At 41.9% G+C, this 27,894-nt stretch overlaps 2 protein-coding genes across 88 annotated transcripts in view, besides 6 other annotated features; one reads left to right on the top strand and one right to left on the bottom strand.

Annotated features, from left to right (window-relative positions):
• Positions 1-27,894, top strand: part of COA1 (cytochrome c oxidase assembly factor 1) — a 121,067-nt gene that overhangs the window by 77,688 nt on the left and 15,485 nt on the right. For 9 of the 86 annotated variants that reach the window (NM_018224.4, NM_001321200.2, NM_001350925.2 and 6 more), the window contains 5 exons: positions 3,184-3,236; positions 4,202-4,301; positions 6,437-6,585; positions 11,187-11,263; positions 12,155-12,579. In NM_018224.4, coding sequence (NP_060694.2) covers positions 3,222-3,236; positions 4,202-4,301; positions 6,437-6,585; positions 11,187-11,263; positions 12,155-12,254 — 441 coding nt within the window. In that variant the 5' untranslated portion in view covers positions 3,184-3,221 and the 3' untranslated portion in view covers positions 12,255-12,579. Of the gene's footprint in view, positions 1-6; positions 87-1,123; positions 2,398-3,183; positions 3,237-4,201; positions 5,365-6,436; positions 6,591-11,186; positions 11,264-12,154; positions 12,580-18,427; positions 27,382-27,894 lie in introns of those variants that run through there. The other 77 variants (NM_001321198.2, NM_001371311.1, NM_001371313.1 and 74 more) reach the window with 43 other exon arrangements.
• Positions 1,709-1,798: an enhancer, noted in NCBI's record as "active region_25913". NCBI's record gives its function as "activates an Ori minimal core promoter by ATAC-STARR-seq in GM12878 lymphoblastoid cells {active_cell/tissue: GM12878}" and the evidence as "EXISTENCE:reporter gene assay evidence [ECO:0000049][PMID:35858748]".
• Positions 2,441-3,302: an enhancer, noted in NCBI's record as "H3K27ac hESC enhancer chr7:43688133-43688994 (GRCh37/hg19 assembly coordinates)". NCBI's record gives its function as "activates a minimal SCP1, AML or CMV promoter by ChIP-STARR-seq in primed H9 embryonic stem cells {active_cell/tissue: H9 hESC(primed)}" and the evidence as "EXISTENCE:reporter gene assay evidence [ECO:0000049][PMID:30033119]".
• Positions 3,572-3,866: an enhancer, noted in NCBI's record as "tiled region #11574; K562 Activating non-DNase unmatched - State 17:Gen3'". NCBI's record gives its function as "activates a minimal TATA promoter and a strong SV40 promoter by Sharpr-MPRA in K562 cells {active_cell/tissue: K562}" and the evidence as "EXISTENCE:reporter gene assay evidence [ECO:0000049][PMID:27701403]".
• Positions 4,165-5,026: an enhancer, noted in NCBI's record as "NANOG-H3K27ac-H3K4me1 hESC enhancer chr7:43686409-43687270 (GRCh37/hg19 assembly coordinates)". NCBI's record gives its function as "activates a minimal SCP1, AML or CMV promoter by ChIP-STARR-seq in primed H9 embryonic stem cells {active_cell/tissue: H9 hESC(primed)}" and the evidence as "EXISTENCE:reporter gene assay evidence [ECO:0000049][PMID:30033119]".
• Positions 4,897-5,016: an enhancer, noted in NCBI's record as "active region_25912". NCBI's record gives its function as "activates an Ori minimal core promoter by ATAC-STARR-seq in GM12878 lymphoblastoid cells {active_cell/tissue: GM12878}" and the evidence as "EXISTENCE:reporter gene assay evidence [ECO:0000049][PMID:35858748]".
• Positions 15,372-15,666: a silencer, noted in NCBI's record as "tiled region #11578; HepG2 Repressive DNase matched - State 14:Gen5'". NCBI's record gives its function as "represses a minimal TATA promoter and a strong SV40 promoter by Sharpr-MPRA in HepG2 cells {active_cell/tissue: HepG2}" and the evidence as "EXISTENCE:reporter gene assay evidence [ECO:0000049][PMID:27701403]".
• STK17A (serine/threonine kinase 17a) overlaps positions 24,457-27,894 on the bottom strand; it is a 44,272-nt gene continuing 40,834 nt past the window's right edge. For both annotated transcript variants that reach the window (NM_004760.3, XM_017012792.2), the window contains exon 7: positions 24,457-27,318. In NM_004760.3, coding sequence (NP_004751.2) covers positions 26,994-27,318 — 325 coding nt within the window. In that variant the 3' untranslated portion in view covers positions 24,457-26,993. The remainder of the gene's footprint in view (positions 27,319-27,894) is intronic.

Genomic DNA, 27,894 nt, shown 5'->3' with positions numbered 1-27,894 from the left:
TTGTAGAGTTTCGGTTCCACCAAGTTGCCCAGGCTGGTCTTGAACTCCTGGGCTTAAGTGATCTTCCTGTCTTGGCCTCCTGAAAGGTGGGGATTACAGGCGTGAGCCACCGCACCTGGCCTGTTTTTTTTTTTTTTTTTTTTTTTAAGCTCTTCCTGTGATTCTGATGTGCTTCCCAGGTTGAAGTTGCACCACCTTCCTGCTTCCACCCTTGCCTTGTGGGATCCTGTCTATGGCTTGAACTCCCTGGCTGTTCTGTTGATCCGCCTGGTGATGCTTCCTCTGGTCCTGGCTGAGGGGAGGCTGACAGGAGGATCCTCCAGCCTGTGCCAGCTTGAGCAGCTGCTGCATCCGTTTAGCAGACTGTGCTTTGACTCTAGAAAGGGTTTAGTACTTTGGAAAAGGTTTATAAACTATTTGCCTTTGGAGGCCAAAGTCACCCCTTTGTGTATCAGAGCAGAGTTAAGACTGCTTTCCTCAGAGACCTTGGCCAGTGCTTTGTGCCACCTTCCTGTGGCTAACAAGTTCCTTGATTTTCAATACAGATGCAACCCTTGCCTTTTGGCGAACAGTTAAGCAAGTAAATCTGCCCTTATTTGGCAATGTAGTAGACTGATTGAACTTGAGTTTATTGCAGAGAATGGCACATCACATTTTTAAATTTTCACTTCTTACTAGAAGACTAGTTCTAAGAGGTAATATTCGTGCAGTTAGCCTAAACTCCATCTATTCCTCTACAGTGCCTTTTTGAATATTTGTTTTTTTGTGAGGTCGGGGGCTACCTAACACTCTTTGAAAGGCAGCTGAAGGGGCAGGTAAACTGAAGCTAGTTGAAAAGGAGCCCCTGCTGCCCCCCACTGACCCCTGAACCCATTTCCTGCCCACCACTCACACCCCAACCCCTGCTTTGACGTGGAAGGGCTCTGGGGAGACTTGGTTGATCCTCACTGCCTGAGCACTCTTGAGTCCTCACTCTTTCGGCTGCTTGTAAAATAATTCTTCTGTTTTTTTTTTTTTTTGGTGGTGGGGGAGTATGAATGTGGCTTTCAGAGTTGGATGTTATAAAACATAGTCATTTGGAAGTTGGGAACTTTTTATTTTTGTTATCTTGTTTTTAATACAGGATGTTTGCCACACGAGTCACTCGAGAGAATCTCTGAGTCCTGGCGAGGGCTTTCTGAGGCTTCGTGTGTTAGCAGCTGTTGTCTTCCAACTCAGCGGCAGGTTTGCCTTTCCCCACGGACACTCTGGACCTTGTAGCTCCTCAAGCTTCCCTGTCTATTGAGCAGATAGGAAGCCGTGTCAAATATGTGGCACCTTGAGGAAATGCCTAGTGAATGACAGTATGTCCTATTGTGCTCTAACTTTATTTCAGCCTTATTTCTTTTCTGAATATTATTTTTCATTTATCTTCATTTCCTTACCTATTTTCTTTTCTTCTAAAGTATGTATCTTTGTTAGCTCCATCATCCTTTTTGGAATGAGCAAGTATAAAAATAAGTAAATAAATAAGACCCATCCTAAGTATTTTAAGAAACCACCCTTTTGCGGCACACTTGCTACCTTGGTCTTAGCTCTGGGCTTTGGTGTCCTCTGGCAGTCCTGCTGCATTGCCTTCTCTCCCCCATCTGCCCACCCCTGTCCCAGAGAGATTTTTCTGTAGCCCCTCATCTGCAGAGTCCGACAGCTCAGGGTCGAGGGTCTTTCTTAGCAGTAATCACCCACTATGCTCTCACCCCTCCATTTCTGGACATGCTTCCTGTGGCTTCTCTCCTGCGCTTTACACTTCAGCAGTTCTTGTTTCTGCTCACTCTGCCTTTGTTTGTCATTTCCTGGATTTGAAGCTGTTCTGCTCTTTTCACCTTTCTCTTCTCAAGGTAAACTTCCTCTGTGAAACCTCCGCTGATGCCCTGCAGCAAGGTTGACCACTTCCTGAGTGTTACTTCCTCTCTTGGTGCATATGTCTGGTTGCACTAACCAGGCTGCTGCTAGCCCAAAGGCACCTTTGTGCAAATTAGAAAAAGACAACCATCCCCATCCCTTCTTCAAGATACTTTATAGTACTTCCAACTGTTGGCAAACTGTCTTAATAAAGATACAAATCTTTGATTTCTCTAATGTGCATGGTGCCCTACAAGGGTTGTGCAGTGCATAGCCGTGCAGTTGCATGTGATAGATCTATGTTATAATTATTTGTTTAATTGTCTGTATTCCCCTCAGGACCAAGGAAAATTCCTTATATCTTGATACTGTTTTTATATTCTTACTGTCTGACCAGATCAGACCCTCAGTAACCGTTTGCTAAACAAAAGAAGGAATGAAGGTACAAATATGTATCCACCTTGTCTGGAAAAATAGCAGGAAAGGCATGCCTGCCAAGGACTTTTACACTGAACAGTAAGAATATATTTTAGCTCAGAGACACTGTTTGTTTTCACATTTCAATATTGCTTTAATTAGATATCTTAAAGCTCGTGTACCACAGTGGTTGAAAGAGCAGATGCTGGAGCCAGACTGCATGAATTTGAATCCCAGTTCTACCACTTATTCACTTATTAGTGCACCTTTGGGCATGTTACTTAACCTTTCTGTGCCTCAGTTTACTCATCTGCAAAATGAGCGTGATGATAATAGTTCCTACTTCAAAGGGTTGTGAGAATTAAATGAATTATATAAAGTGCTTAGAATAGTACAAGACACATAATAGTCAGAGACAGAAGTATTAGGTATTATCAATATTGTTAAAGTCCATGTATAAGTTTACTGTACTATTGTTTCTTTTTAACTCTGAAGTGCTGTTTTCACTCTGTCACGTACAGCTTTTATTGCTAGCATCTTGCTTCTGCAGGTCCAGCCTCCTGTTGATTGGCCCTGTGTTTGTGCTGTGGTCAAAGCACTTGCTGTCTGCGGTTCTCCCTTGTGCACACCGGTTCTTTGGTTGCTGTAACAAAAACTACATAGGACACAGACAGGAAACCCGCAGGCTTTGTTTTTTCTTCCTAATTTGGCAGCAGAAGGGGGAAAAACCAGGGCCTTTCACAGACAAGGCTTGTTTTAGAGTTTAATTTTAACTTCTTGTTCGTGTTCTAAAGCTTGGGTTGGTAATAAATCTTGGCTGTATGAGACTAGAGAGAACTGGGCTTTAAAAATATGATTTTAATGTAAAATCTTTTCTAATTGCAGGACAACTTGCCTTTGATGATTTTCAAGAGAGTTGTGCTATGATGTGGCAAAAGGTAATGGAATGTTCCAGGGCCAAGTTCCCCACTAGAACCTGCCAGGGTATTCTCGAGTTAGACAATAGAAGAAAGTCACTCCCTGAATAGTTATGGGCTTCTCCTGGTCTTTAGGGTTCACTTGTGCTTTAACTTCACAGGAGGGATGGGCATTTTCTGCATTGTTTCCCACTCTGTCTTTCTCTCGTGTCTCATGCTGGCGTTGGAAGCTGTAACACTCTGGGAACCTCTCCATAACCCAGTCTGGCTGCCTCACCCTGTTGAGCTCTCTTCAAATTAAGCAAGATCTGACTAATACATTCTTCAGAGATGCTCTGACCGTTTTCATTATGAGAACTAAATGACTTTTCCCAGATCACATTACTGTAATTAACTTTACACTCATTTTGATACTCTTACATATTATAAGAGTGGATGGATGGTATGCTGTATTTACCGAGCTGGCATCCCTCCATCTGTTCATTCAGCCTGAGTCATAACCAGAGTTTCCTCATCCCAAGGGTGGTGCATTTTTCAAAATATGAAAGGAGCCAGTGACAGCTCCAGCCCATTCGCAGGCTTACAGGACCAGCCATTGCCACAAAGGATAAGCTTCCTGTTTACCAGTTGGCCTGAGACAAAGTGGTTGTGCTTCCTGGCCATGCGGGGCTTGGCACACAGTCTGGGCTGTGTCTGTCAGGATGGTGGGCTGAATGCTCGCTCTGTGCTGGGCTGGCTGGGGGTGGCAGGGCCCCCACAGCATGGGTCCTGGACATGGGCCACTCTCGAGAGGGCACCCTCAGGAGGGCACTCAGTTTGGCTTCAGAACCAACCCTGGCATTTGGAAAGGAAGCAAATGAGGGAGGGCGGTCTGGCCTCCTTTCTGGCTTCCTTAATGCTTCTTTCCTTTAGGGGTCCAAGCCGGGCAAATCCCCTTGGCACAAAACTGGGAATCCTACAATAAATTTGTATCTTTTGTTTTTAAGTATGCAGGAAGCAGGCGGTCAATGCCTCTGGGAGCAAGGATCCTTTTCCACGGTGTGTTCTATGCCGGGGGCTTTGCCATTGTGTATTACCTCATTCAAAGTAAGTATCCTGCTAGCCGCCTGCGGCCTGACCTCCTCCTAGCCTGCTCCTGCTCCTCCATCAGAGGAAATACTTGAGATGCTTTGTTTAGATTAGAGAAAGGAGGAGAGGGTGATTTTAAAGGCTAGTCCACCATTTCGTTGGCTATAGCTTCCTCTGTATCCTGTAATCTCAGTTTTTCCAGGAGCAACGAGTACAAATAAAAGGACCAGGACTAATATGCATAAGAAGCCCAGCAAAGCACGATGGGCTTTCAGTCCAGTGCACACACAGGGGCTCCATCAAGATTCTGAGATTATATAAAGAAGGGACAGAGGGAAGGGGAATACCAGATGGTTCACAGGTGGGGAAAGCTGTGGCTGTGCGTCCAGCATTGTCAGACTTTTTTTGCACTTTCATTCTCTGCTGTTGATTTAATGGAGGAGGGACCATGAGCAAGGAACTCTGGCAGGGGCAGAAAATAAAAGCAGAGACCACGATGGCAAAATCCCGACAGATGCCGCTTCCAGCCCCACTGCACTCAAATTTGAATTTGTAAAGACAGGCCACAATTACTGTCAGCAGCCAGGACATTTAAGGTCATTTTAATGCTACTGGTGGCAAAGCGGCAGCAGTTTTTTCTAGACTGGCTTTTTTTAGGCTCCTTTATCCCCACCCAGCTTGGCTCGTCATCCACTCTGCAACATTTTCACTTCTTCCCAGGATGTGAGTGTCACCAGCAGACAAGCAGACAGGCTCCAGTGTCCTCTCCAGCCTTTCTGCACCATCCTGCAGAGTTGGTGGAGTTGCAGAGTCTGGAGGGGGCCTGAGATGAGCGTTCCCAGGAATGATTCAGACTGAATAATTTGGCCTCCTCTTCCCTCTGCCAAAGGGACAGGGGCAGGACATGAGAGGGATGGGTGCACTTTTGGGTCAGGGTTCAGCTTTCTGGTGTGACAGCCTTTCTCCCTTAGGAGGCTGCTAAGTCGGTGAGACCTGGGCACTGCAGCCGACTGCCTGGGTTGAATGGTTGAATCTCGGCTCCAGCTCTTGACCAGCTATGTGGCCTTATGGGGGAGTCCGTCACCTTTCTGGGCATTAGTTACCTTATTGGTGTGATGTGTGGTAATGTTAGTGCTTGTGTATGAGGTGAGAATTGAATCTCACAACACAAGAGCTGTTGAACATTGTGAGATGTGTGGAATATTGAGAACAGTGCCTAGCCATAGAAATCACTCAATAAAGATTAGCTGTCTGGACCCTGCTTCTGTCCCTTCTTTTCCTATCATAGCTGGCACCGTGTTCATGCCTGTGGTATTCCCTGTATCCCTATTCCTGGGAAGCAGCCCAGGAGGGGGATTCCCTTGGCCTCTCCAGGGTCAGGTCACCTTTCCCTTCATTAGTGTGATGGGACCTTCAGAAGAGAAGCACTTTCTGCGGCCAAACTGAACACCCTGCTTGGGAAGCCTGCCTCTGCTCCCTCCTTTGGGCAGCTGATTATTAGAACTTACAGCTTCAGGGAGGTGCTTCCCGGAGTTCCCAGGTAGCCTGTGGGCTCAGAAGGATTCCTGAGACTGAGAGCAGTTTGAGTTGAAATGTTGGCTTAAATCTTGATGAATGAACATTTTCATATCCTGTTTCTAGGCCTGAGGGTTTTGTTGTTAATGTTGTGGTCTTTCTATTTTATGTCTCAACTTAGTGGAACAGGCAGTGTTGAGAAGTCAGGTATCATGGATTCTGGCCTCGGCTTTGCCATGGACCAGCTGTGTCACTTTGAACAAGTCATGGAATCATAGTAGGACTTTAGAGCAAACTTAGAGACTTGAGAGGAAACTTAGAGAAGAGCTGACCAAACCTCTTAGGTGTCAAAATAAGGCAATGAGTGAGGGTAGAAATGAGGTGAAGCAGAAAGGGTCTGCATGAGGTCAAGGCCCAAGGTCATCTGCACATCCCTGCAAAACACTGCCTGCCTGTGCTTTGGTTTTTGAGTCTGTAAAATGGACAATTTAGAGTAGATGGCCTTAATTATTCGTCCATCCACAGATTTCACGTTTCTGTTTCTACCCTGTACGTCAGTTGGATTATTTAATTTTCTGTGTAGTAGATTCTACCTGACCAAGTTCAATAAAGAAAATAAGTGTGTCTTTCGTCCTTAGAGTTTCATTCCAGGGCTTTATATTACAAGTTGGCAGTGGAGCAGCTGCAGAGCCATCCCGAGGCACAGGAAGCTCTGGGCCCTCCTCTCAACATCCATTATCTCAAGCTCATCGACAGGGAAAACTTCGTGGACATTGTTGATGCCAAGGTAATGTGCTTTCCCTGCGAACCGCAGGCTGGTGCCTGCTGAAGGAGAGGAGAGTCTACTGTCTCCTGGAAAGTCCTGGAGTTAAGGATTTGGGATGGGAAAATCCACTAAGTAAAGCTAGGTTTGGCACCTTTAAAAAAAGTTTTTCTATTATGGATTTTAATGTTTATATAAAATATATTTTATATTATAGATATTTCTGTATACTTTTCTTCCATTCTGGGGAATTGATGTGGCAGGGAATGCAGTGGGTATGCTGATGTCGCCATCTTGAATTGAAGGTAGTAGAGAAATGACCAGTGGTGGTTTGCTACCATGTTGGCTTTGATAGCTCTCAGCACTTTGGGAGGCTGAGGTAAGAGGATTGCTTGAGCCCTGGGGTTTGAAACCAGCCTGGGCAACACAGCAAGACCCTGTCTCTCTCTCTCTCTCTCTCTCTCTCTCTCTCTCTGTCTCTCTGCCTGCCTGCCTGCCTGCCTGCCTGCCTGCCTATCTATCTATCTATCTATCTATCTATCTATCTATCTATCTATCTATCTAATCTATCTATCTATAATTTAGCCAGGCGTGATAGTGCACACCTATAATCCCAGCTACCCAGGAGGCTGAAGCAGGAGGATCGCTTGAACCCAGGAGTTGGAGGCTGCAATGAGTTATGATCATGTCACTGCACTCCATCCTGGGTGACAGAGTGAAATTGTCTGTAAAATTAAAAAAAAAAGAGAAATGCATCTATATCCAGTCAGTGCTCATTCAAATGTACCCAACTCTTTAAACTTTGATTTTTAAAGTGTATTTATTTACATTGCTTCCACAGAATACCAACCCATTTTTTTAGCTATAACTTATCTTTTTGTACTTGATCACACTCACTTGCATGTAAAACACATTTGTTCTGTTTAACAAACATATTTTGAGTATATGCTCTGGTTTGAGAAATGATTCTAAGCTATGTGGGGAATAGAGGTGCAGAAGGCTTTTGGGGGTTTACAGTTGAAAATTCCTGAGTAAGACAGGGTGAGGGAAACCCTGTCACTATTGTGCAGGCCTAGGGGAAGTGGCTCGAGGCCTGGGAGATGGCTGTGAGGACTTTGAAAGGTGGAGAGGAACACCCGGCTGAGGAGCAGCATGCCTGGGAAAGTTCATCACTGTGTCGCCTGTCAGTGTGATACGGCAGTGGAGGCACAGGTGGGCGAGGTGGGTGTGGGCAGGTAGGAGGGGCTGCGGCCACCAGGGGCCACAGTGTCATCTTGGAAGGTGTGTGCTTGACTCTGGCAGCAGAAGCCCGTAAAGTATTTGGAGGATGAGTGAGGTGATCCGACCTACATTATTTTTTGTTATTTTTAGTATGTTCTTAATGGACCCAGCTCTAATGAGACTTTTTTCTAACTACAAAAGCAATTCATGCTCTGGTATTCTGATTAAAATATTCGGTTTTAAAAGAAGGTGGATTTGTGTAGATTGGTAATGCCCAGGGACTGGCTACGGGGAGCCATCTTTAGGAGAGAGATGTGGCCACACTGGTGTGCAGTGGTGAGAGCATGAACCAGAGGTGTGGCCTGGAGAAGCAAAAGACGGATGTGAAGCCATCGTGGCATCCAAGTGACAGAACTTGGTAACAGTCATGTATCAGGAGCGGGTGGGTCAGAGGTGATGGTCCAGTGTCCAGCATGGACGTGAGTGGAAGGACGGCAGCGACACTGCGTGAGAGAGGACATCCTGGAGGAGGAGCACAGGGAAGGGCTGGGCATGTGTGGAGTGCTCACTCTGTGCCAGGCCACCGGATTGCTCCCATGGTGTGGCGGAGCCTGTCTGTTGCTTCCTTGCCTTTGGTCACTTGGCTAGACCCCAGCAATCCTGAGAACTTGGAAAAGCCACTGGGTAGGTCTGGCTGTTGCGTTTCTCTCAGCACAGAGCCCAGCTGTAGCACTGAGGAATTGTGTGCCAAAGGCGCCTTTGCTGGGGCTGGTTGATGCAGCATCCATGATCTGGTGCTCCAGGAACCCCAGTGAGAGTAGGGTAAGGCCATGGTGGTTTTGGTGGGAGCTTTGTCCTGTCCAGCTTTCACTTTGGCCCCAGTGGTGCTGAGAGGGCGCCTTCCTGGGCTTCCCCACATCCCTGGGGCCTTGGCCATGCTGTGACTATGTTGGTTGTGGTGCTAGGTTCTGGCTTCTACTGCGGCCAAATGCTGTGACTCTGCAGTGACAGGAGTTCAGAGTCTGCTGCATCATGGCCACCTGGAGCCTCAGTGCACGCCTTCCAATTTGTGGACTATTTTTGACATTCTGTCAGGGTCCTTTCTTTATAATCAGCGGTTTGTGAGGATGCCTGTATACAGCATATGCCCTCTTATCCCAAATTCCTTTATTTGCAATTTTTACAGTTTTTCCAGAGGTGAGATGTTTCAGTTGTTCATGAAGTAATTGTCATACATTGGGATTTTTTCCCAAGTATGTGTGTGAGATAGTCACCAGTGACCAACACTTTGCTTTACCAGAACTCCTGCTTTAATCTTTGGCAAGGTCTGGCTGGTGAAGGAACCAACCTGTAAAGTGTCACATCTACCCATGGAAGCACAGCTGCCCACAGTTCAGACATTGGCCCCTCAGAGTTTGCTCTTCTTCAGAATCCTTCTTGCTTCTGCCCATTTCTTTCTCCTTCCTTTTTAAATTTTTTTTTAAAGCATCCAGAGATGCTCAGTGTATACTCTGTTGCTTAATTCTATAATTTCCAGAGAAAAGCTGTAGCTTGACTCAAACAGTGGGACCCTGAAAATTTGTTCTTTTTTAAAATTTTTTCTTGAGATGGAACCTTGCTCTGTTACCCAGGCTGGAGTACAGTGGTGTGATCTTGGCACACTGCAGCCTCCACCTCCCAGGTTCAAGCGATTCTCCTGCCTCACTCTCCTGAGTAGCTGGGACTATAGGTGTGCGCCACCATGCCCGGCTAAGTGTTTGTATTTCTAGTAGAGATGGGGTTTTGCCATATTGCCCAGCTGATCTCGAACTCCTGGCCTCAAGTGATCCACCTGCCTCAGCCTCCCAAAGTGCTGGGATTACAGGCGGAAGCCACCATACCCGGCCAAAGATTTGTTCTTGAAGTGTGACTAGGTGACTGCCTATTCACCTGAGTTATGGAGCCATGTTCCAAATCTTGTGCCTTCCTTCAGGTGTGTTTGGAAAGCACAAATGTGTACCTCAGTAGTTTCTTCTCTTGGTGGCAACTTGGAATGGGTGGGATACTCCCCGCCCCAATTCCCTCCCCTGCCCCTGCCCCGGGAGGTATCTTTGGCCATCACCGAGGACACAGGAAGGCACTCTGGGAGATGCCTGTCTCATGATGGGCTTCCTTATTAACTGTGCCTGTGTCTCCTTCGCGAGGCTCATACCTTCTTTGGTTTTCATGAGAAACCAAAAATATTGCATTCACTGTTTTTTTTCTCAATCGGAGTGTGATCAACTGCTTACGGGCTCTCAGGCTGACTCCCTGAGCATGGGCATGGCAGCACCTGGCAGCATCCCTGTGGTACGAGCCCAGCCTGTGGTGCTGGGGATGAAGGAGAAACTGAGAACTCTGTGTTGTCTTTCTCAGACAAGCCTTCATGTATTGTATTTTCTTTAAAGCCTGTTCTTTAGGGTCCAGGTCAAAATATGTACCAATTTCCTGGCAATAGGTCCCTCTTTAAAACAGTGAATTTTTTTTGGTATTTTATTGTGAAAAATTTCAAACGTACAAAAAAGACAAAAGAATTTATACTGTGAGCACCTATAGCTGGTACCTGGATTCTACAATTGGATTTTGCTCTGTTTCCATGAATCTGTATTGTTATTTTGTTGGATTACAAAGTAATTTTCAAACATCATACACATAAGCACATATATCATTAAGTAGAGTTTAATATTTGTTATGGTTCCTGGTTTTTTTTTTTTTTTTTGAGGTAAAATTTACATTCTGTGAAAGGCACAAATCCAAGCGTCCTATCTGATGAGTTTTAACAAATACACCCAGTTGTGTCACTCAAGCCGTTATCTAGATGTAGATTGTTCCCAGCACCTGAATTCCCTCGTGCCCTACCCAATGGGTCCCTTCTCACATCTTCCAGCTCCACCAGAGGCAGTCACTTTTCTTTTTTTTAAAATGATGTTTGAAAATTACTTTGTAATCCATCAAAATAACAACAGGTTTCCAGGACAGTTTAGCCTGTTCTAGAATTTAACATAAATACTTGTATACTCCTCCTGTGTAAAGCCCTTTGGCTTGGTGTGTTTTTGATATTCATCGATGTTGCTCCGTGTATCAGGAGTTTGCTCCTTTTTAACAGTGGACTTTTGAGCGATCATTGGAAGTACCCAGAGCATTGACATAGGAGTCCTCCTTGCCAAATGGAAAGACTGCCATTGACCTTACCAGCCAACCAAAGAGGGGCAGGACATTTGGAAAATCAAGTGGATTCTCCAGCTGGGCTGTTAGAAAAGAACTCACTTCTGTGGAGAATCACTGGATTTTATAGGCTTAGCTCTAGAAAGCATCATTTTGTCATCTTCTGAAATGACAATAATTATCCAATTACATCTCTCCTTTCTGTCATTTTACACCCACAGTTGAAGATTCCTGTCTCTGGATCCAAATCAGAGGGCCTTCTCTACGTCCACTCATCCAGAGGTGGCCCCTTTCAGAGGTATCCTGGGAAGGTGACGGCAGTGGGGGAGCGGGAGGAAGACTTCCTGATGAAAGCAACCCCAACTCCGTTTTCATTTGTTGTTAAATTACTGTGGGCATAGGAAGAATTATTTTTCAAGCTTGAAGCTGAAAGCTTCGTGGCCTGGGCAGCAAGCCAGTACTGCGGCTCTTAGCTGAGTCCAGTTTATCCATACAGTCTACTGAATTGCCCTCTCCTTATGCCGTTGAATTTGTAAAACTTTCCAGTTATAGTGATCTGGGTCTATCATAATTTGATGCTATGTTACAGCTTCTCACTTGACTGCCTCAATTGTTATAAATGAATAAAGGGCATGGACTCTTGTTCCAGAATTTATTCATCACATTCTTTGCATAAGCTCTCCACCCCTTAATTGGCTTTGCTTGTCTGGTTGCCAATAGCTACATCCACTCACTTCCCCCACGGGAAGCCTCTCTCATAGATGTTTGCTGTTTAGCCAGGCTGTATTTTAATTCCCAAGGACAAAAGGAGCAGGAGGCCCCACCTAGCTCACCCTGGGCTCACTGACCTCTGAGCCTGGGATTAGTGTACAAGCTGGCTGGATTCCATGCCAGGAACTGAAGGTCACTGTGAATTAGGAAATGAGAAATAAACTGCTCCTTCTTCCTGATGTCCCTTCCATTCGCCTGTCAGTCATTGTTAAGCCTGCCTTGAAGTCGAAGCTGGTTAAATAATGAGAGCCCATGGTAGAATGTTAAAAATTGTGTTGACACAGCACTCGCACAAAATAATGTTTAAAAAAATTTAAGGCATTATTCAAAACAACTGCTTTCCGCGCCCCTTTTTTTGACTACGGCTGTTGCCTCAGCCTTCATAGATTAGAGATACTATACTTTTGGTTTCTCTCAGGTGGCACCTTGACGAGGTCTTTTTAGAGCTCAAGGATGGTCAGCAGATTCCTGTGTTCAAGCTCAGTGGGGAAAACGGTGATGAAGTGAAAAAGGAGTAGAGACGACCCAGAAGACCCAGCTTGCTTCTAGTCCATCCTTCCCTCATCTCTACCATATGGCCACTGGGGTGGTGGCCCATCTCAGTGACAGACACTCCTGCAACCCAGTTTTCCAGCCACCAGTGGGATGATGGTATGTGCCAGCACATGGTAATTTTGGTGTAATTCTAACTTGGGCACAACAAATGCTATTTGTCATTTTTAAACTGAATCCGAAAGAAACTCCTATTATAAATTTAAGATAATGTAATGTATTTGAAAGTGCTTTGTATAAAAAAGCACATGATAAAAGGAATCAGAATTAATAAAATGTTTGTTGATCTTTGCTAGTTCTCATTTCTTTCCTTTCTCTTCCTCTTCCTTTCCCCTGGAATTTTCAGTCCTCATTACAAAGCCTGAAGCTTAGTAGCACTGAAGGGATTTTTTCTAAATTATTGACCTGAGAATGATGAGGAAGACCACTGGTTTTTCACTCTACCTTGAATTCATGTTGTTAAGTAGCTTGTGGACATTCTCTATCACTTTGGAATATTTTGTTTGCTTTGCTTTTATTTATTTCTATTTCAGACACCAACCATCTGCCCAGTTGAAGATTTGCAAAATAATTGTTTTTATTCCAAACATTTTGAAAGCTTAGAAAATTTATATGTGTACATATACATATAAAGTTAACTTAGGAAAGTTAGTTTGAAGCTAACAGCATCTGGCTGGGTGTGGTGGCCCATGCCTGTAATCCCAGCAATTTGGGAGGCCAAGGCAGGCGGATCACCTGAGGTCAGGAGTTTGAGACCAGCCTGGCCAACATGGTGAAACCTCGTCTCTACTGAAAATACAAAAAATTAGCCAGGCGTGGTGGCGGGCGCCTGTAATCCCAGCTACCTGGGAGGCTGAGGTGGGAGAATTGCTTGAATCCAGGAGGCAGAGGCTGCAGTGAGCCAAGATTTCATCACTGCACTCCAGCCTGGGCAACAAGAGCAAAACTCTGTCTCAGAAAAAAAAAAAAAAAAAAAAAAAAGGAAAGAAAAAGAAGGGAAAGGGAAGGAAAGGAAAAAGAAAGCTAATAGGTTCTTATCCATCTGCTTTCCAAACAACTTAACCGCATGTTAGATAATTGTATCCTTAGGTTTTATTAGTCTTATAAGGAAACATATTATAAAGCAAAAGAACTTCCTTCTGGGCACCAGAGCCTACAAAAACAGAAATCTGGTATCTGCTTTGAAAAGGTCAGTTTAACCCTCTTAGCATTAGCAGGCTTAATGCCATTGTGGTTGTCTACAATGAAGGACAGCCATGAGCTCTCTTCCTACATTCTTAATATTCATTGAAGAGAAGCCTCTCAGGAAAAAAAAAAAAAAAATGAGCTTAAACATGCTAGTAGAGTATGAGGTCTTCAGTTGTTACAAGTTATCTCTATTCTGGAGTTGTTTCTTTAAAAACATATTTATGTGTTCTTTGAGTAGATTATACAGTGAAAAGTGTCTCCCTGAGAGCACTTTTGTCAGTGTGTTCAGATAAATATTCCAATCTCTACAGTCTTTTAAAATAAATGGCAGAGCACTGTACAGTTTTGTGCTTTTGCTCTTTAAGTTACACACTGTCCTATTGTCTATATGTTGTGAATTTATGTGGTGCTTCCTATCTGTCTGTTCTCTGACAACTTTTACTTTATCTTAGTGTTTGAATTTTGTTTCTTTGCTATGGCCAAATTATAGAAAACCAGGGCTTAGGTTGGCCATCTGTTCTGAAGTAAAAGTAAGTGTAGAGTTTGAATTAATGGAGAGGCTTTTCTAATCTACCTGATAGGAAATAGTATTATGTAGTGAAGTGCTCCTTGATTTCTATTTGAAAGCCGCTATCTCGGGTATTTTTTCTGTTCACATTTACTTCCTGTGCACTTAATGCCTTTATGGGTGATTCTGAACAGGCTGGAACTTGATCACTGCAGTAGACACTGTCTTTCCTGTTCTTTGAGGATAGCAGTGATGTACACTTGCAGTCCACTGTTTCCTGTATATCCATTCATCACTGTGACTCAGCCATCGACTCCACTAACTACCTTAATGATGTCTTGGATAATGCATCAGAGGAAAAGGTGACTTTTTGAGGAAGGGCCCCCAGTACATCCCATAAAGAGACAGGATAGCCCAGAGACCAGAGAAAGGGGTTTCCTAGAATTATACAAACTGTAGACTTGTAAAGACTGCAGGAGAGGGATCACAGCCAGCAAATGGTAGCGTGACTCCTATGTGCTTTACTATAGAAGAGGCTGCAGGGCCTCCACCCACAAGTTCCTTACCAGCTAGTGTGCTGGGTGGATGGGCAGGGGTTGTAGAGAGTATTATAATACTGTGCCAAAAGAATTTCAAGCTGTGGTGCTAAAAATGATGTAGAAAAGAGAGATATCAGTTAGGGGGAATCTAAGAGGCTGTCCAGAGGCAGTAGTGTCCCTGTGGGCCTTGAAGTCCAAGATTTTGATAAGCAGACATGATGGAGAGCACAACATGCAAGTGGAAAGCACAACATGAAGAAAGGCCCCAGAGCGGGCAGATGGGAGCTGTGCTCCAGAAATCAGAAGCCCAGTTTGGACAGCGTGTAGATGAGCGCAGGTAAAGTAAAAGAGAGGCCTGGAAAGGTAGGTTGGCCACAGTGTGTGAATGCCACTGTTGACATTTTGCATACAATTTGTGGCCATCAAAGATTTGGGGGTAAGCACATGATTCTACTGTTAATGAAGGTTTCAGAGATTGTGCTGAATGTGTACTGACAAGACCTGTATGACTTTCAAGTAAGTCACAGATTTTACTGTCTTTGTTCAATTTTCCTAGAATTAGCCTCCACTTGCCTGCAAACATTCCCTATTCACCAACCCAAGGACATGATAATACCTGATAAGGTTTTATTGCTGAGTTTTGGTAAAATTTGTATACAGGAACAGTGACACTAAAATTACATATACACAAAACAGCCAGAACTTAACAATAGTTCCTTCTGTCCTCTGGCCACCAGCAAGGCCAGGGAAATGCTCAAGAAGCGGCAGTTCTGAAGGGTTTTCCCAAAGCAAGCAGCTTTGGAAGTGGCTTTAGGCCACTTGACTCTCTGGCGTTTTCAGTTTGTCCATCTGAAAAATATGAATAAATATTTACCAATCACTTGCCTTACAGGTGAGACAATGTTTATACTGCTCATTGGGATGCTTGGGCAAAAGATGCTGTTTTACACAGGAGGCTCAATGATGGGGGCGGTCCAGAAAGAGGTGGGAGGGTGATTGATAGGAAAACCTCCAGTCTCCACCCACTAGAAGATTCTCACCTCCTTAGTAATGCGCTCCTGGTTCAGGCATGTTTTTTGGCAGAGTTCCTGAGTTGAAAGCACTGTCAGGAATGTGTACAGAAAAACTGCGCCCATGTTATAATCCAGGGCAGAAAAGTAGGAAATGAAAATACTAAAAACATGCCTCTAAGACACGGGTTGGGTGCCGAAGTGAAATCTGACTTTGCAGGAGAGAGTACTTTTCATTCCTAAATTATCTTGCAAGTTTTTTTTCCCTTAGAGGAAATTTCCAAAAGGAATTTTTTTAAGGAAACTTTTTAATTGACTTATCAGATCACATGAGGTATGTTAAAAACCTTTTATTATTAAATAATAAGCCGCCAAGGCAGAAATTAGACCCCCTACTATACACCTAAAACATGTAACACTTATCTTTTAACACTTATCTTTTAACTTGAGCTACCACATCAGTCACCTTGCAGTCTTAATGACAAAGTAATTTTTCACTTCCAAATTATTTTTATGAAACGAGAAACTATAGACCTGTCTCCCTTATGAAGGTTGATGCAAATATTCAAAATAAAATATTAGTGAACTGAGTCCAGTGATATGTAGTGGTATATTGTATTATTTTTCACGAAATAGGTTGGTGCTTCTCCCTCTCAGTGCTCTTTCCTGTGGGAGGATTATACATCCCTGCCTCGTTGAACTTAGGTGTGACTGTGTGGCTTGTGAGTGGAAGTGGCATGCAGGACTTCTGAGTAAAAGTTTTAAGTGCCAGCCCTTGGTTCATGCTGTCCACTTTGCCTTCGTCCCTAAGATTGGTAATGTTCCAGATGGTGGCTACTTCAAGGGCTTGGGGGCTCGGACAGCTGACCCACAGTGGGACACGGAGCATAAGGGAGACATAAACCCTTACAAGCCCCTAAGATGGGGGGCTATTTGTTACCCCAGCTTAACCTAGTGCACCCTGCTGTTAACAGTGACTAATAGAGGTTTATTCCAGGAATGCAAAGGTGGTTCAATATCGGGAAATCCTGGAATTATTTTAACCTAAGACATGGCTTAGATCTAGGACTTAATATTCAATTGGAGAGACACACAAACCATTGATTGCAGAACATGTCCTTGGTGGTTTGACTGAGTCAATATTTATAAAATTATATAAAAGTTATATTTATAAGCATATATTTTATAAATTAAGCTACTTTCTAGGACCACATTGTTAGAAAATTCACTATTCAAAACAAAGTAGAAGAAACAAGAAAGAGTAGACACACTTCTCGCTATTCCTCCACTAAGTGCAGCCTGGACTTCCATAAAACAAACATCAGACTACTGTGAAAGATGAGAAGACCAAATGGCTAGGAACTTCAGTACCCAAGGAATAACACAGCATCGATTTCCCTGGGTTTTCTTTTGCCTAATATTGGGCAAATATGAGGCACTGGAGAAACCAGTACCCCAGAAACACCAATAGGAGCCAACGGCTAAGCAAAGCCTGGTGTCTCTAGCCAAAGGATCAGGACAGGGCAACTTAGAAAGATGGAGAACTCTAAGAAGTAACTGCCCTACTCTATGCAAACACCATGGAAAAACCCATGGCCCCAATCCCACAGCCTCATCAGCAAAAGCCAAGTGGGGAGCCTAGACCTTCTTTGCCTGTTGTAATGAGGCCTCCCCATCCCCTGCTGGAGCAGTGTCAGAGCTAGCCCAGCAGAGAGCTTGGGACATCTATCCCTGCAGGATGGTAATGAGGCCCACCCCCATAGTGTCAGTGGAGGCCATGTTGGGAGCTTAGACTTTTACCCTGACCCAGGAGGAACAACTGCCCCCACTCCCATGGTATCAGTGGGACCCACGTGTTCTAGCGGGAAGCTGCACTTAGCCACCCCTCCCCCTGCCTGTATTCAAAGGGGCTCAGTAGTGAGCCTGAACCATCAACCCCACCACATGCCCCCGTCACCCACTTGGGTGGTGTCAGAGTAGACCTACGAAAACATGATTCAAACAAGGTCCAGCGTCTCAAACCCAAATGGGCAGAATAGAACAGAAAGCCATGCTCTTATGCCAAGAACCAGGCAAATGTCAACCTGAATGAGAACAGAGAGTTAACAGACACCAACACCAAGATAACACAGATTTTAGAATTATCTGACAAGGATTTTGAAGCAGCCATCATTTAAAAAAAAGATTCAGTGAGCAATCATGAACATGCTTGGAATAAATGAAAAAAATAGGAAGTCTTAGAAGATGGCAGAATCAAATGGAAATTTTAGAATTGAGAAGAGTAAATGAAACAAAAATCTCACTGGATGGGTTAAACAGCAGAATGAGGAGTAACGAGAAAACAATCACTGAATTTAAAGATGAAATAAAAATCTGAGCGGAGAAAACAGACTGCAATTGGTACCTGTGGGCCTCTAGCTAAAGACCTAACATTTGAATCATGGCTCTAAGAAAGAGGAGAGGGAGGGTGGGGCTGAAAAAGTATTTGAAAAAAAAAATGGCTGAGAGTTTACAAATTTGTCAAAAACAAATGAACCTTTTATAGGCGTATATACCTAGTTTCATTGTGTTTTACTTTATTACACTTTGCAGATGCTGTGTTTTTTACAAATTGTGGGTTTGTGGCGACTGTCGAGCAAGTCTTTTGGTGCCACTTTTTCAACAGCTTGTGCTCACTTTGTGTCTGTGTCACATTTGGTAATTCTCACAATACTTCAGACTTTTAAATTACTCTATTATGGAGAGCTGTGATCAGTGATCTTTGATGTTACTATTGTAATTGTTTTGGGCACGATGAACCTCACCCACATAAGATGGTGAACTTAATTGATAAATGTGTGTGTTCTGACTGCTCCACTAATTGGCCATTCCCTCGTCTTTCTCCCACTTTTCAGGCCTCCCTATTCCCTGAGACACAACAGTATTGAAATTGGGCCAATTAATAACCCCACAGTGGCCTCTCACTAAATGTGAGAGGTGAGGAAGCTGCAGGAGAAAATTTGAAGCTAGCAGTGTTCATGAGATGTAAGTAAAGAAGCCATCTCCATAAAAGTACAACGTGACGCAGCAAGTGCTGATGGAGAAGCTGTAGAAGTTACACAGAAGATCTAGCTTGGACCATCGATGAAAGTGGCTACACTAAACAACAGATTTTAAATGTAGATAAAACAGCATTTTATTGGAAAAAGATGCCATCTAGGACTTTCATAGTTAGAAAAACTCAATGCCTGGCTTCAAAGGACAAGCTGACTCTTGTCAGGGGCTAGTGCAGCTGTGACTTTCAGTTAAAGCCAATGCTCATTGACTATTCTGAAAATCCCAGGGCCCTTAAGATATGCTGTATAAACGCAACAACAAAGCCTGGATGACGTTGGGTCTGTTTACAGCCTGGTCTACTGAGTAAGCCCACTGTTGAGACCTAGTGCTCAGAAAAAATAGATTTCTTTCAAAATATGGCTGGGTGCAGTGGCTCACACCGGTAATCCCAGCACTTTGGGAGGCTGGGGCGGGTGGATTGCTTGATGCCAGGAGTTCAAGACCAGCCTGGGCAACATGGTGAAACCCTGTCTCAAAAAACAAATCCAAAAAACCAAAATATTGCTACTCATTAACAATGCACCTGGTTACCCAAGAGCTCTGATGGAGATGTACAAGGAGATGAATACTGTTTTCATGCCTGCTAACACAGTATCCATTCTGCTGCTGATAGATCAAGAAGTACTTTTGACTTTCAAAACTTGTTATTTAAGAAATACATTTTGTGGTTTCTCTGATGGTTCTGGGCAGTCAGTTCAAAACCTTCTGGAAAGGATTCACCATTCTAGATGCCATCAAGAGCATTCAATTCACGGGAGGAGGTCAAAATATCAACATTAATTGGAATTTGGAAGAAATAGATTCCAATCCTCATGGAGGACTTGGAGGGTTTCAAGACTTCAGAGGAGGAAGGAACTGTAGATGGGCTGAAAATAGCAAGAGAACTAGAAGTGGAGGGGCCTAGAGATGTGACCGAATTGCTGTAACCTCAGGATCAAACTTGTATGGATGAGAAGTTCCTTCTCATGGACGAGCAAAGAAGGTGATTTCTTGAAATGGAATCTACTCCTGGTGAAGATGCTATGAACATTGTTGAAATGACAAAAGATTTAGAATATTCCATAAACTTAGCTGTGGCCAGGGTTTGAGAGGATTGACTCCTAATTTTGAAGTTCTACTGTGGGTAAATGCTGTCAAACAGCATTGCATGCCACAGAGGAATCTCTCATGAAAGAGTTAATAAATGCAGCAAACTTCACTGTTGTCTTACTTTAAGAAACTGCCACAGTCACTGCAGGCTTCAGCAACTTATCTTTTCCTACCCTCCTCTCGCATTTAAAAGTACTTTTAAATTAATGTATGTACATTATTTTTAGGCATAACACTGCTGCTCATTTAAAAAAACTACAGTATGAACCATGTTATATGCAGTGGAAAGGCAAAAAATTCATGTGACTTACTTGCTTGTATTTGGTTTATTGCAGTGGTCTGGAACTGAAAGTGATGCGTATTTCTGAGTTATGCCTGTATTTAAGAAGCTGAGTGAAACCCAAAGAAGTCCATGATAGGACAGACTTCTGAAAACTAAAGACAGAAAAAAGCTTGAAAGCATCAAGAAAGAAGTGAAATCTTAGCTAGAGGGAAAAGTAACTCAGATGACAGTGGATTTCTCTCTGGAAACCATGGAGGCCAGAAGGAAGTGAGACAAGTTCTTTTAGTGCCAGAAGAACTATCAACTTGTGGCTGGGCACGGTGGCTCACACCTGTAATCCCAGCACTTTGGGAGACCAAGGTGGGCAGATCACTTGAAGTCAGGAGTTTGAGACCAGCCTGGCCAACATGGCAAAACCCTGTCTCTACTAAAAATACAAAAATTAGCCAGGCATGGTGGCACATGCCTGTAATCTCAGCTACTTGGGAGGCTGAGGCACGAGAATTACTTGAACCCGGGAGGTGGAGGTTGCAGTGAGCCAAGATCCTGCCACTGCACTCCAGCCTGGGCAACAGAGCAAGACTGCCTCAAAACAAAACTCTGTCAACTCCAAATTCCTATTTGGTGAAATGATCCTTCAGGATTGATGGGGTAATAAAAACATTCTCGGTTGATAGAAAACTAAAAGAATTTGTTGAATGAGTCTACCCTATAGACCTTGAAAAGACCAACCCTAAAGGAAGTTCTTGAACCAGAAAGGAAACATTTAAAAAAAAAAAGTTTTGGGATGTCAGGAATAACGATGGAAACAGCAAAAATATGGGTAAATACAATAGACTTTCCTCCTTGAGTTTTCTAAATTGGTAGTGGAAGCAAAATTGTCTGACATAGATCTCAATGTACGTAGCAGGTTATGTTTAAGACAATTATAAATGGGGTGGGGAGGGGACGGGCAAGAGAGTTTTCTACATTTCACTCTAACTGGTAAAATGTAGATATCAACAGATCTTTATATAGCAGTGAAGCAGTTCCATATCTCAAATGTGTTGGTAGGAAGATAAAATGGCATAAAATGATATACATTGTGCAAATATCAATTTCCTGTAGTTACGTAAAGATGTATCTGTACTGTCTTTTCAACTCCCTGTAAGTCTGTAACTATTGCGAAATCAAAAGCTTTAAAAAGTATAGGATGAAAGTATTGAATATGCTGCTTTAAAAGGGACAGGGTACAGTTTTATTGGCTTAGAGAAAAAAAGCGGGGGCAGGGATGAGGTGACAGTCCTCCTCACCTGAATAATTGCAGCTGAGGATTAAACATATCTCTTCCCAAATACTTTATCTTCTAGGTATACTTCTCTTACAATTTATTAGAAAGCTGGTTACTTGAGATAACTAAAGAGATACTAATTTTCATGCAAACCCATCACAATGTATTGAAACTGAGATACTTTTCTGCTGCTAACATATTTAGGAAAAATAGTTTTATTTTTAGTAAATAAAATCTCCACTTATTTCAATAAAAATGGCAAGGAGAAAATGTCATAAGATTATCCTGCCATGTAAAATAAGCTGCTCCCCAAAGGACTGTGTCAAGATTGGTTTTAAATAGAAAATATCTATTTTAAATATATTTAGATTATAATTGCCTGGGGGTTGGCAAACTTTTTCTGTAAAGGGCCAGATACTAAATACCTTAGGCTGTACGGGCCTTCAGATCTCTGTCACAACTGTTCACCCGCGCGGTGTAGTGTGAAGGCATCCACATACAAAATGTAAACACACAGGTGTGGCTGTTCTAATAAAACCTCACCAAACAGGCAGCACAGGCCACAGTATGCTGACCTCTGCACTAGCCTCATCTCAGGTTAACTGTCCTCTAGTTATTAAAAAAGAAACCCAAAATTAAGTTACACAAAAGTAATTTTTAAAAACTACTTTGGACGTTAAAATGGGGCCAAAGGTAGAATCCACGGAGGTAAAAGTTCTTGACGAGCAGTCAGGAAATCTGAATGATTCTGTCCTTTGTTCTGCCCATAACCAGCTGTGAGCTCTTGGGCAAATCACATATTCCCTCTGCGATTCCATTATTGCATCTCTAATCTGAAAAAGTAGAGGAGGGATTCCATCCAATTTTGTTACTATAAATTTCAGTTCAAGCAAACTTACTCCCACTGTTACCAACAAAAGTTTCAAAAGACTCATTTAAATAATTTATAACATAGTTCTGGTTAGGCATGATGAGCTAAAAATGAGAGTTGGGGTATTAAAAGCAAACAAAAAAAGCTGAAATATGAAGACTATCCAAAAAACAACAGCATCAAAAACCATGAAATACACAGGGATACAGTTAAAGGATATATAGGATCTCTGCACTGAAAAATGTAAAACACTGCTGAGAAAAAATGAAGTAAATGGAAAAACATGTTTATGGATTGGATGACTACTTGACTTATAGATTCAGTGAATCCTAATAAAAATCCACAAGGCTTCTTCTGGGAGTAGTTTGGTGGAAATTGACAAAATTTATTTGGAAATGCAAAGGACCTAGAATAAACAAAGCAGTTTGCAGAAGAAGAAATTAGAACGTCTGTTTTACCTGAGATCAAGACTTACCAAGTTTTGACAAAAAGATAAACAGAATGGAACAAAACTAGAGCCACAGATATATGGTCAAATGATTTTAGACCGGGCACCAAAACAGTTTAACAGTGAAAGGAGACTCTTTGACAAGTGGTGCTGGAACCACTGAACGTTCAGTAGAATGTTCAAAGGTATTTGATGCCTACCTACTTTATGGCATATAAAAATACTAATTCAAGGTGAATCACAGACCTGAATATTCGCTACAACTATCATACTCCTAAGAAAAATAAGAGTATCTTCATGAGCTTGGGTAGGCAAAGACTTCTTAAAGAGCACAAAGAAAGCATTAACTATAAAACAAAAATTCATAAATTGGATTTCACCAAAACTAAACCCTTCTTCTCATCAACAGATACTACTGAGAACAGGCAAGCTATAGAGTGGGAAAAGATATGTGACACATAAATCTGACAATCCTTTATGTCCAGAATGCACAAAGGAGTCCTATCCAATTAAAAGGAAAAAAGGACATGAAAAGTACTGTCCATTAGTCATCAGGGAAATGCAAACTAAACCACCATGAGATACCGCCACATATCCAGAAGCATGGCTAAAATGCAACAGGTGGACAATACCAATTGTCGGCAAGGATGTAAAAAACAACCAGAGTACAATGTGCTGGCAGGAACACAAAACAGCACAATGGTTTTAGAAAACTGTTGGGCAGTTTCTTAAAAAGTTAAATATACAGCTACCATAAGACCTAGCAATTCTACTCCTAGCTTTTTAATCCAAGAGAAATGAAAACATGTCCACAAAAATCCCTGTACAAGAATATTTATAGCACATTTATAATAGCCCCACAGAAACAGCTCAGGGGTCCATGAACAGAAGGATAGCTACATAAACTGTCATGCATTCAAATAGCACGACACAACAATAAAAAGGAACAAACCAGGCTGGGCATGGTGGCTCACGCCTGTAATCCCAACACTTTGGGAGGCTGAGGTGGGTGGATCACTTGAGGTCAGGAGTTCGAGACCAGCTTGACCAACATGGTGCAACCCCATGTCTACTAAAAAAAAAATACAAAAATTAGCCGGGTGTGGTGGCGCATGCCTGTAATCCCAGCTACTTGGGGAGCTGAGGCAGGAGAATCCCTTGAACCTGGGAGGTGGAGGTTGCAGTGAGCCAAGATCCCACCATTGCACTCCAGCCTGGGCAACAAGAGCAAAACTCCAGTCTCAACAACACAACACAAAACAAAACAAGAAAAAGCAACAAACTGCTGATATAAGCATCGACATAGATGAATCTCAAAGACATCATGCTGAGTTACAGAAGCCAAATGGTGCATGCTGTATGATTCCAACTACATGAGTTTGAGGATAAGGAAAACCAGTGCAACAGAACAGGAGTGTGGTTAAAGGAGTGAGTACATTTGTCAAGCCTGATGAGACTGTATGGATTTAGATCTGTACATTTCATGATATGTAAATTATATCCCCTTCTCTCCAAAACAATAGTGATTAAGGCTCTCGAGGTTAAGATCAAGGTGTTCAATCTAGCTTTTTAAATTCCGCAACAGATAGAATGGATGAGGTGGCCAATCTTGGACAATAAATATAGTACATGGCTATTTTTCATTTTTATCAGTCTAATTCAAATTGAGGTGTGAGTTTAAAATGTATTTAGGATTAGTCTGCTGATGCTAGTCATCTTTCTCCTATCTATATTCATGTATGTTGGTGTCCATGGATTGGTATTTATTTTTTCTAAACAGGTATAGGCCTCTATGGACTGAGTCACGCACCACCCCCATTACATTACTGAGGACTATAATTCATGTTCTGTCTCACATTCTCTAAGTGATCTTTATAACCCTTTAATACATTTTTCTTCCAAACTGAGGTTAGCTGGAAAAATTTAAGAGATTCAACAATGAGCATCTGTCCTTCCTCTATACCACTACTAGAGAAAGGTATTAATTACCTCCTAGTTTTCATTTGAAAACAACAAAACACAAGATCAATCAAATATCATTTCCCAGTTGATTAAAACTTATACATTTTATACATTTCATAAACAACGTTTCACCACACCAAAATATTGTTGAATTATAGTTAAAACTGGATTTATAAACCGAGTAAACTCAATAGTACTGTTTAGTCCTTTATAAATTTGGTGATAGAAAAAAAGGAACATTAACAGCTTTAGATAAGTGTAGAGCTAGCTGGCAGTTATTAATAGATTTTATTTGGCCTAATACTATGAAGGCTCTTCATGCCCTGTTTTTATCTTATAAACCAAAAAATGCCAATACACCTTTACAAGTATATTCTGAAGGGCCTCTTAAAAAAGCACCCTATGACTCAGTATTTAAGCACAACAGCAGCTAAAGATACGCAGCAAACTGAAGTGGCCAGCTAAAAGAAAACAGATCTTTCTCACAAATACAGCAATTATATTAAATATATTTATTACGAGTATAAAATGGTTTTTAAAAAGCCCAAATGATTCTGATTTTAAAACTTGATGACAGATCCATCAAGTACAAACGTGTCATTCAATAGTGGTTATTTTTTCCTGGTCACCTCCTCCCTATTTTTTCAGAGAGATAAATATTTGCCTAATACTGTGTTTAACTTCTTCCAAGACTTACCTGAGACTCAAAACTGTGGCCATGGATATTCATTAAAAACTCTATCACTGTGGCACAATTTCTTCTTCTGCATTTTGGAGCTTGTTTAGGAATGCTAGGTTCCAGGAAACTGTATAAATAAAGCCAATTTAGTGAGAAAACAGTGCAACCTGGTTGTCTGAAGTGCCTGATGAATTTCACCTAATGGTGTAAAGGGCACTCCCAGGTGCTTTGACAGGTTCACACAGCAGGACTGGGTGAGATTACTGACTTTGTATATGTCTATGACATTTACACACATTTGGGTATTTACTGTACATACTTTAAAATAGTGGTTAGGTGCTGTCATTTTCATGATTTTGACAGTTGAGAAACCATGTTAGGGAGAGAGCTTTGTGTGACACCCTAATCAGACCGTGAAGGGACAGGTCTGAGTTGTTCATAGTGCAGAGCGAGGCATGGCCACGGTACACAGCACACAGGTGATAGGCAAATATTTAATGCACTGAGCCTTTTGTGTGTAAGGATAATTAGTTACTTTAAGGTATTCGGCATACACTTTTACATTTCCATATTTTAATTGGACTTTACTGGTCACTGTGGGGCATAGATACAACTGAACTGTTCAATCCTAATCAAATAAAACTATTAGTACATTCTTATACATCTTTTTGGGACAAAGTACCTCCTACTTACAGAGTATCCAATGTAAATTTTTTATGGACAAAGTAAATGTTTATAAATATTTTGGCATTTTATAACTTTTCCTAGCATAGCTTGAGGGCTGATAAGAAACTCAGCAGAAACAGGCTGTGGTTGGCATGAAGACACTCTCTCTCTCTCTCTCTCTCTCTGCTCTAGGGGATTTTACTCACTTTGGGACAAAAGCAATATAGTAGCATCTTTTCACTGACCAAGGTAACCAGAGTGTTGATCAGATCACACTGATACCTACAAGTGGCCAAAATTAAATGACAAGCATGGGGGGAGGTGCCAGGAAGTGGCAGGGGTATAGAGTGTGAGAGAGAACAGATGCATGTGAGTGTGGTGTGATGAGGGAAGCAGCTCAAGAGCTGACACCTAAACCCAGAATAATTTCAGAGGTGAAAAATTACCACCTCTCTTACTAGTGACATTGAAGAGAAAAAAAATTAGGGTTTTTCACTGATATGTTACTAGTATTTAGGCAAAAACACAACAGAAACCAAATCAAGTCACTATAAAGCAGTAAGAAAATATTTAAAAAAGACATTATCAAACTTTAGTGAATGTTATTCTAAGTCTCGAAAATTTAGATGTCTGTTTAGACTAAAATTTTGCCAAAAACAAATCCAAAGTGAAAAAGTAGCAATTTTAGTAGACATTAACAAACATTATGCAGATATAGATACACATATGAATAATGCAAGAGATTTACAGAAGTGTAGTTTTGGCACTTTTACTTGGATTTTTTAAAGAAAGTGAATACAAATATCTTTGTACACAAATTCTCATTCTGGAGAAACAGGATGTAGAATTCAAAGGTGCCAACATCTCCCTTCTTAAAAATAACATTGAAACGGGTAACTGTACCTGTTAAATCTCCTGGTTGGCAACTTTTAAAATCTGGCTTCCACCTAACTCCACAAATTTGACAAAGTTATTTTTGTTTGTGTAAGTGATACTGGTTATCCACTTCCAGTACATGTACCATTTGGCCAGAGGTCCATAAATAATATTAACATTTTCAATGTAGAAATCTTGAAGTTCTAAAGGGAAATATTGCTCAGTAGATAAATTCTCCTGGAATTTCTTGTAGCAAAGGTTCCTCAAATTTAAATCGTTTGGAAATGGCCTTTTGCTCCATTTTCTCTTTTTCAGACTGTCTGCATTGTCCTAGAGTATATGAAGTAACTACAATTAACTCTTCGGTTACAATGGATTCCTTGGTTTCTGATTTGTCGGTATCCGAATTAATTTCAGGCACAGAATGACCTTCTTGGAGGGCATTTGCTTCTTCTAGTGCCTTTTCCATCCTGAAAGAAGGCTCTTGAATACTGCTCTGTGTCAACCAGGGGTGCTTTAGACATTCTTCAGCAGTGGCTCGATCTCTGTAAAGATACATGTTTTACAGTTAAGACATGTTAGAACTTCAATTAAAATTAGAGCATAAGGTACTGTATTTATTGCATTATATTTTGGGAAGTCTGACAAGTTGGCAAAAATCTTACTGTGATTCCTGAATAAAACTATTAGTCTTGGAATTTGGGTGCAATTTCCCACAATGCTGAAAATTTTGTGAAAATGTTGAAATATTTTAAGTAAGTTATGTCTGAAACGCTCTCTTGAGAGACACCAAGAACAGATGGGAAGTATCTGCTAGAGATTAGCTGTCATTTCACTGTCAATTTCTACTAACCATGAATTATGAGTGCTATTTACTGCCATGACACATTTGCAATAATACAGTTTTGCTAATTAATATTTAAATCCTGTTATACTGAGGTATGGTTCACATTTTCTCAAAATATTTTCATTTTTGCCCCCTTTTCTTTCAAGTTATATTAAGCCAAGGGTTTCACCTAGATTTATGTCAACATTTTTGTGTTTCCATTATGGTGTTTTAGAAGTTGAACTATTTTTGGTTGGAGGAGATTCAAGAAAAAACTGTCAGTTTTTTAATACTG

Source organism: Homo sapiens, chromosome 7 (genome assembly GCF_000001405.40).
Source record: "Homo sapiens chromosome 7, GRCh38.p14 Primary Assembly".
In the NCBI taxonomy this organism is placed as follows: Eukaryota; Metazoa; Chordata; class Mammalia; order Primates; family Hominidae; genus Homo; species Homo sapiens.
The sequence above is the reverse complement of the archived record's forward strand: the minus strand, read 5'-3'. Positions and strand labels throughout refer to the sequence as shown.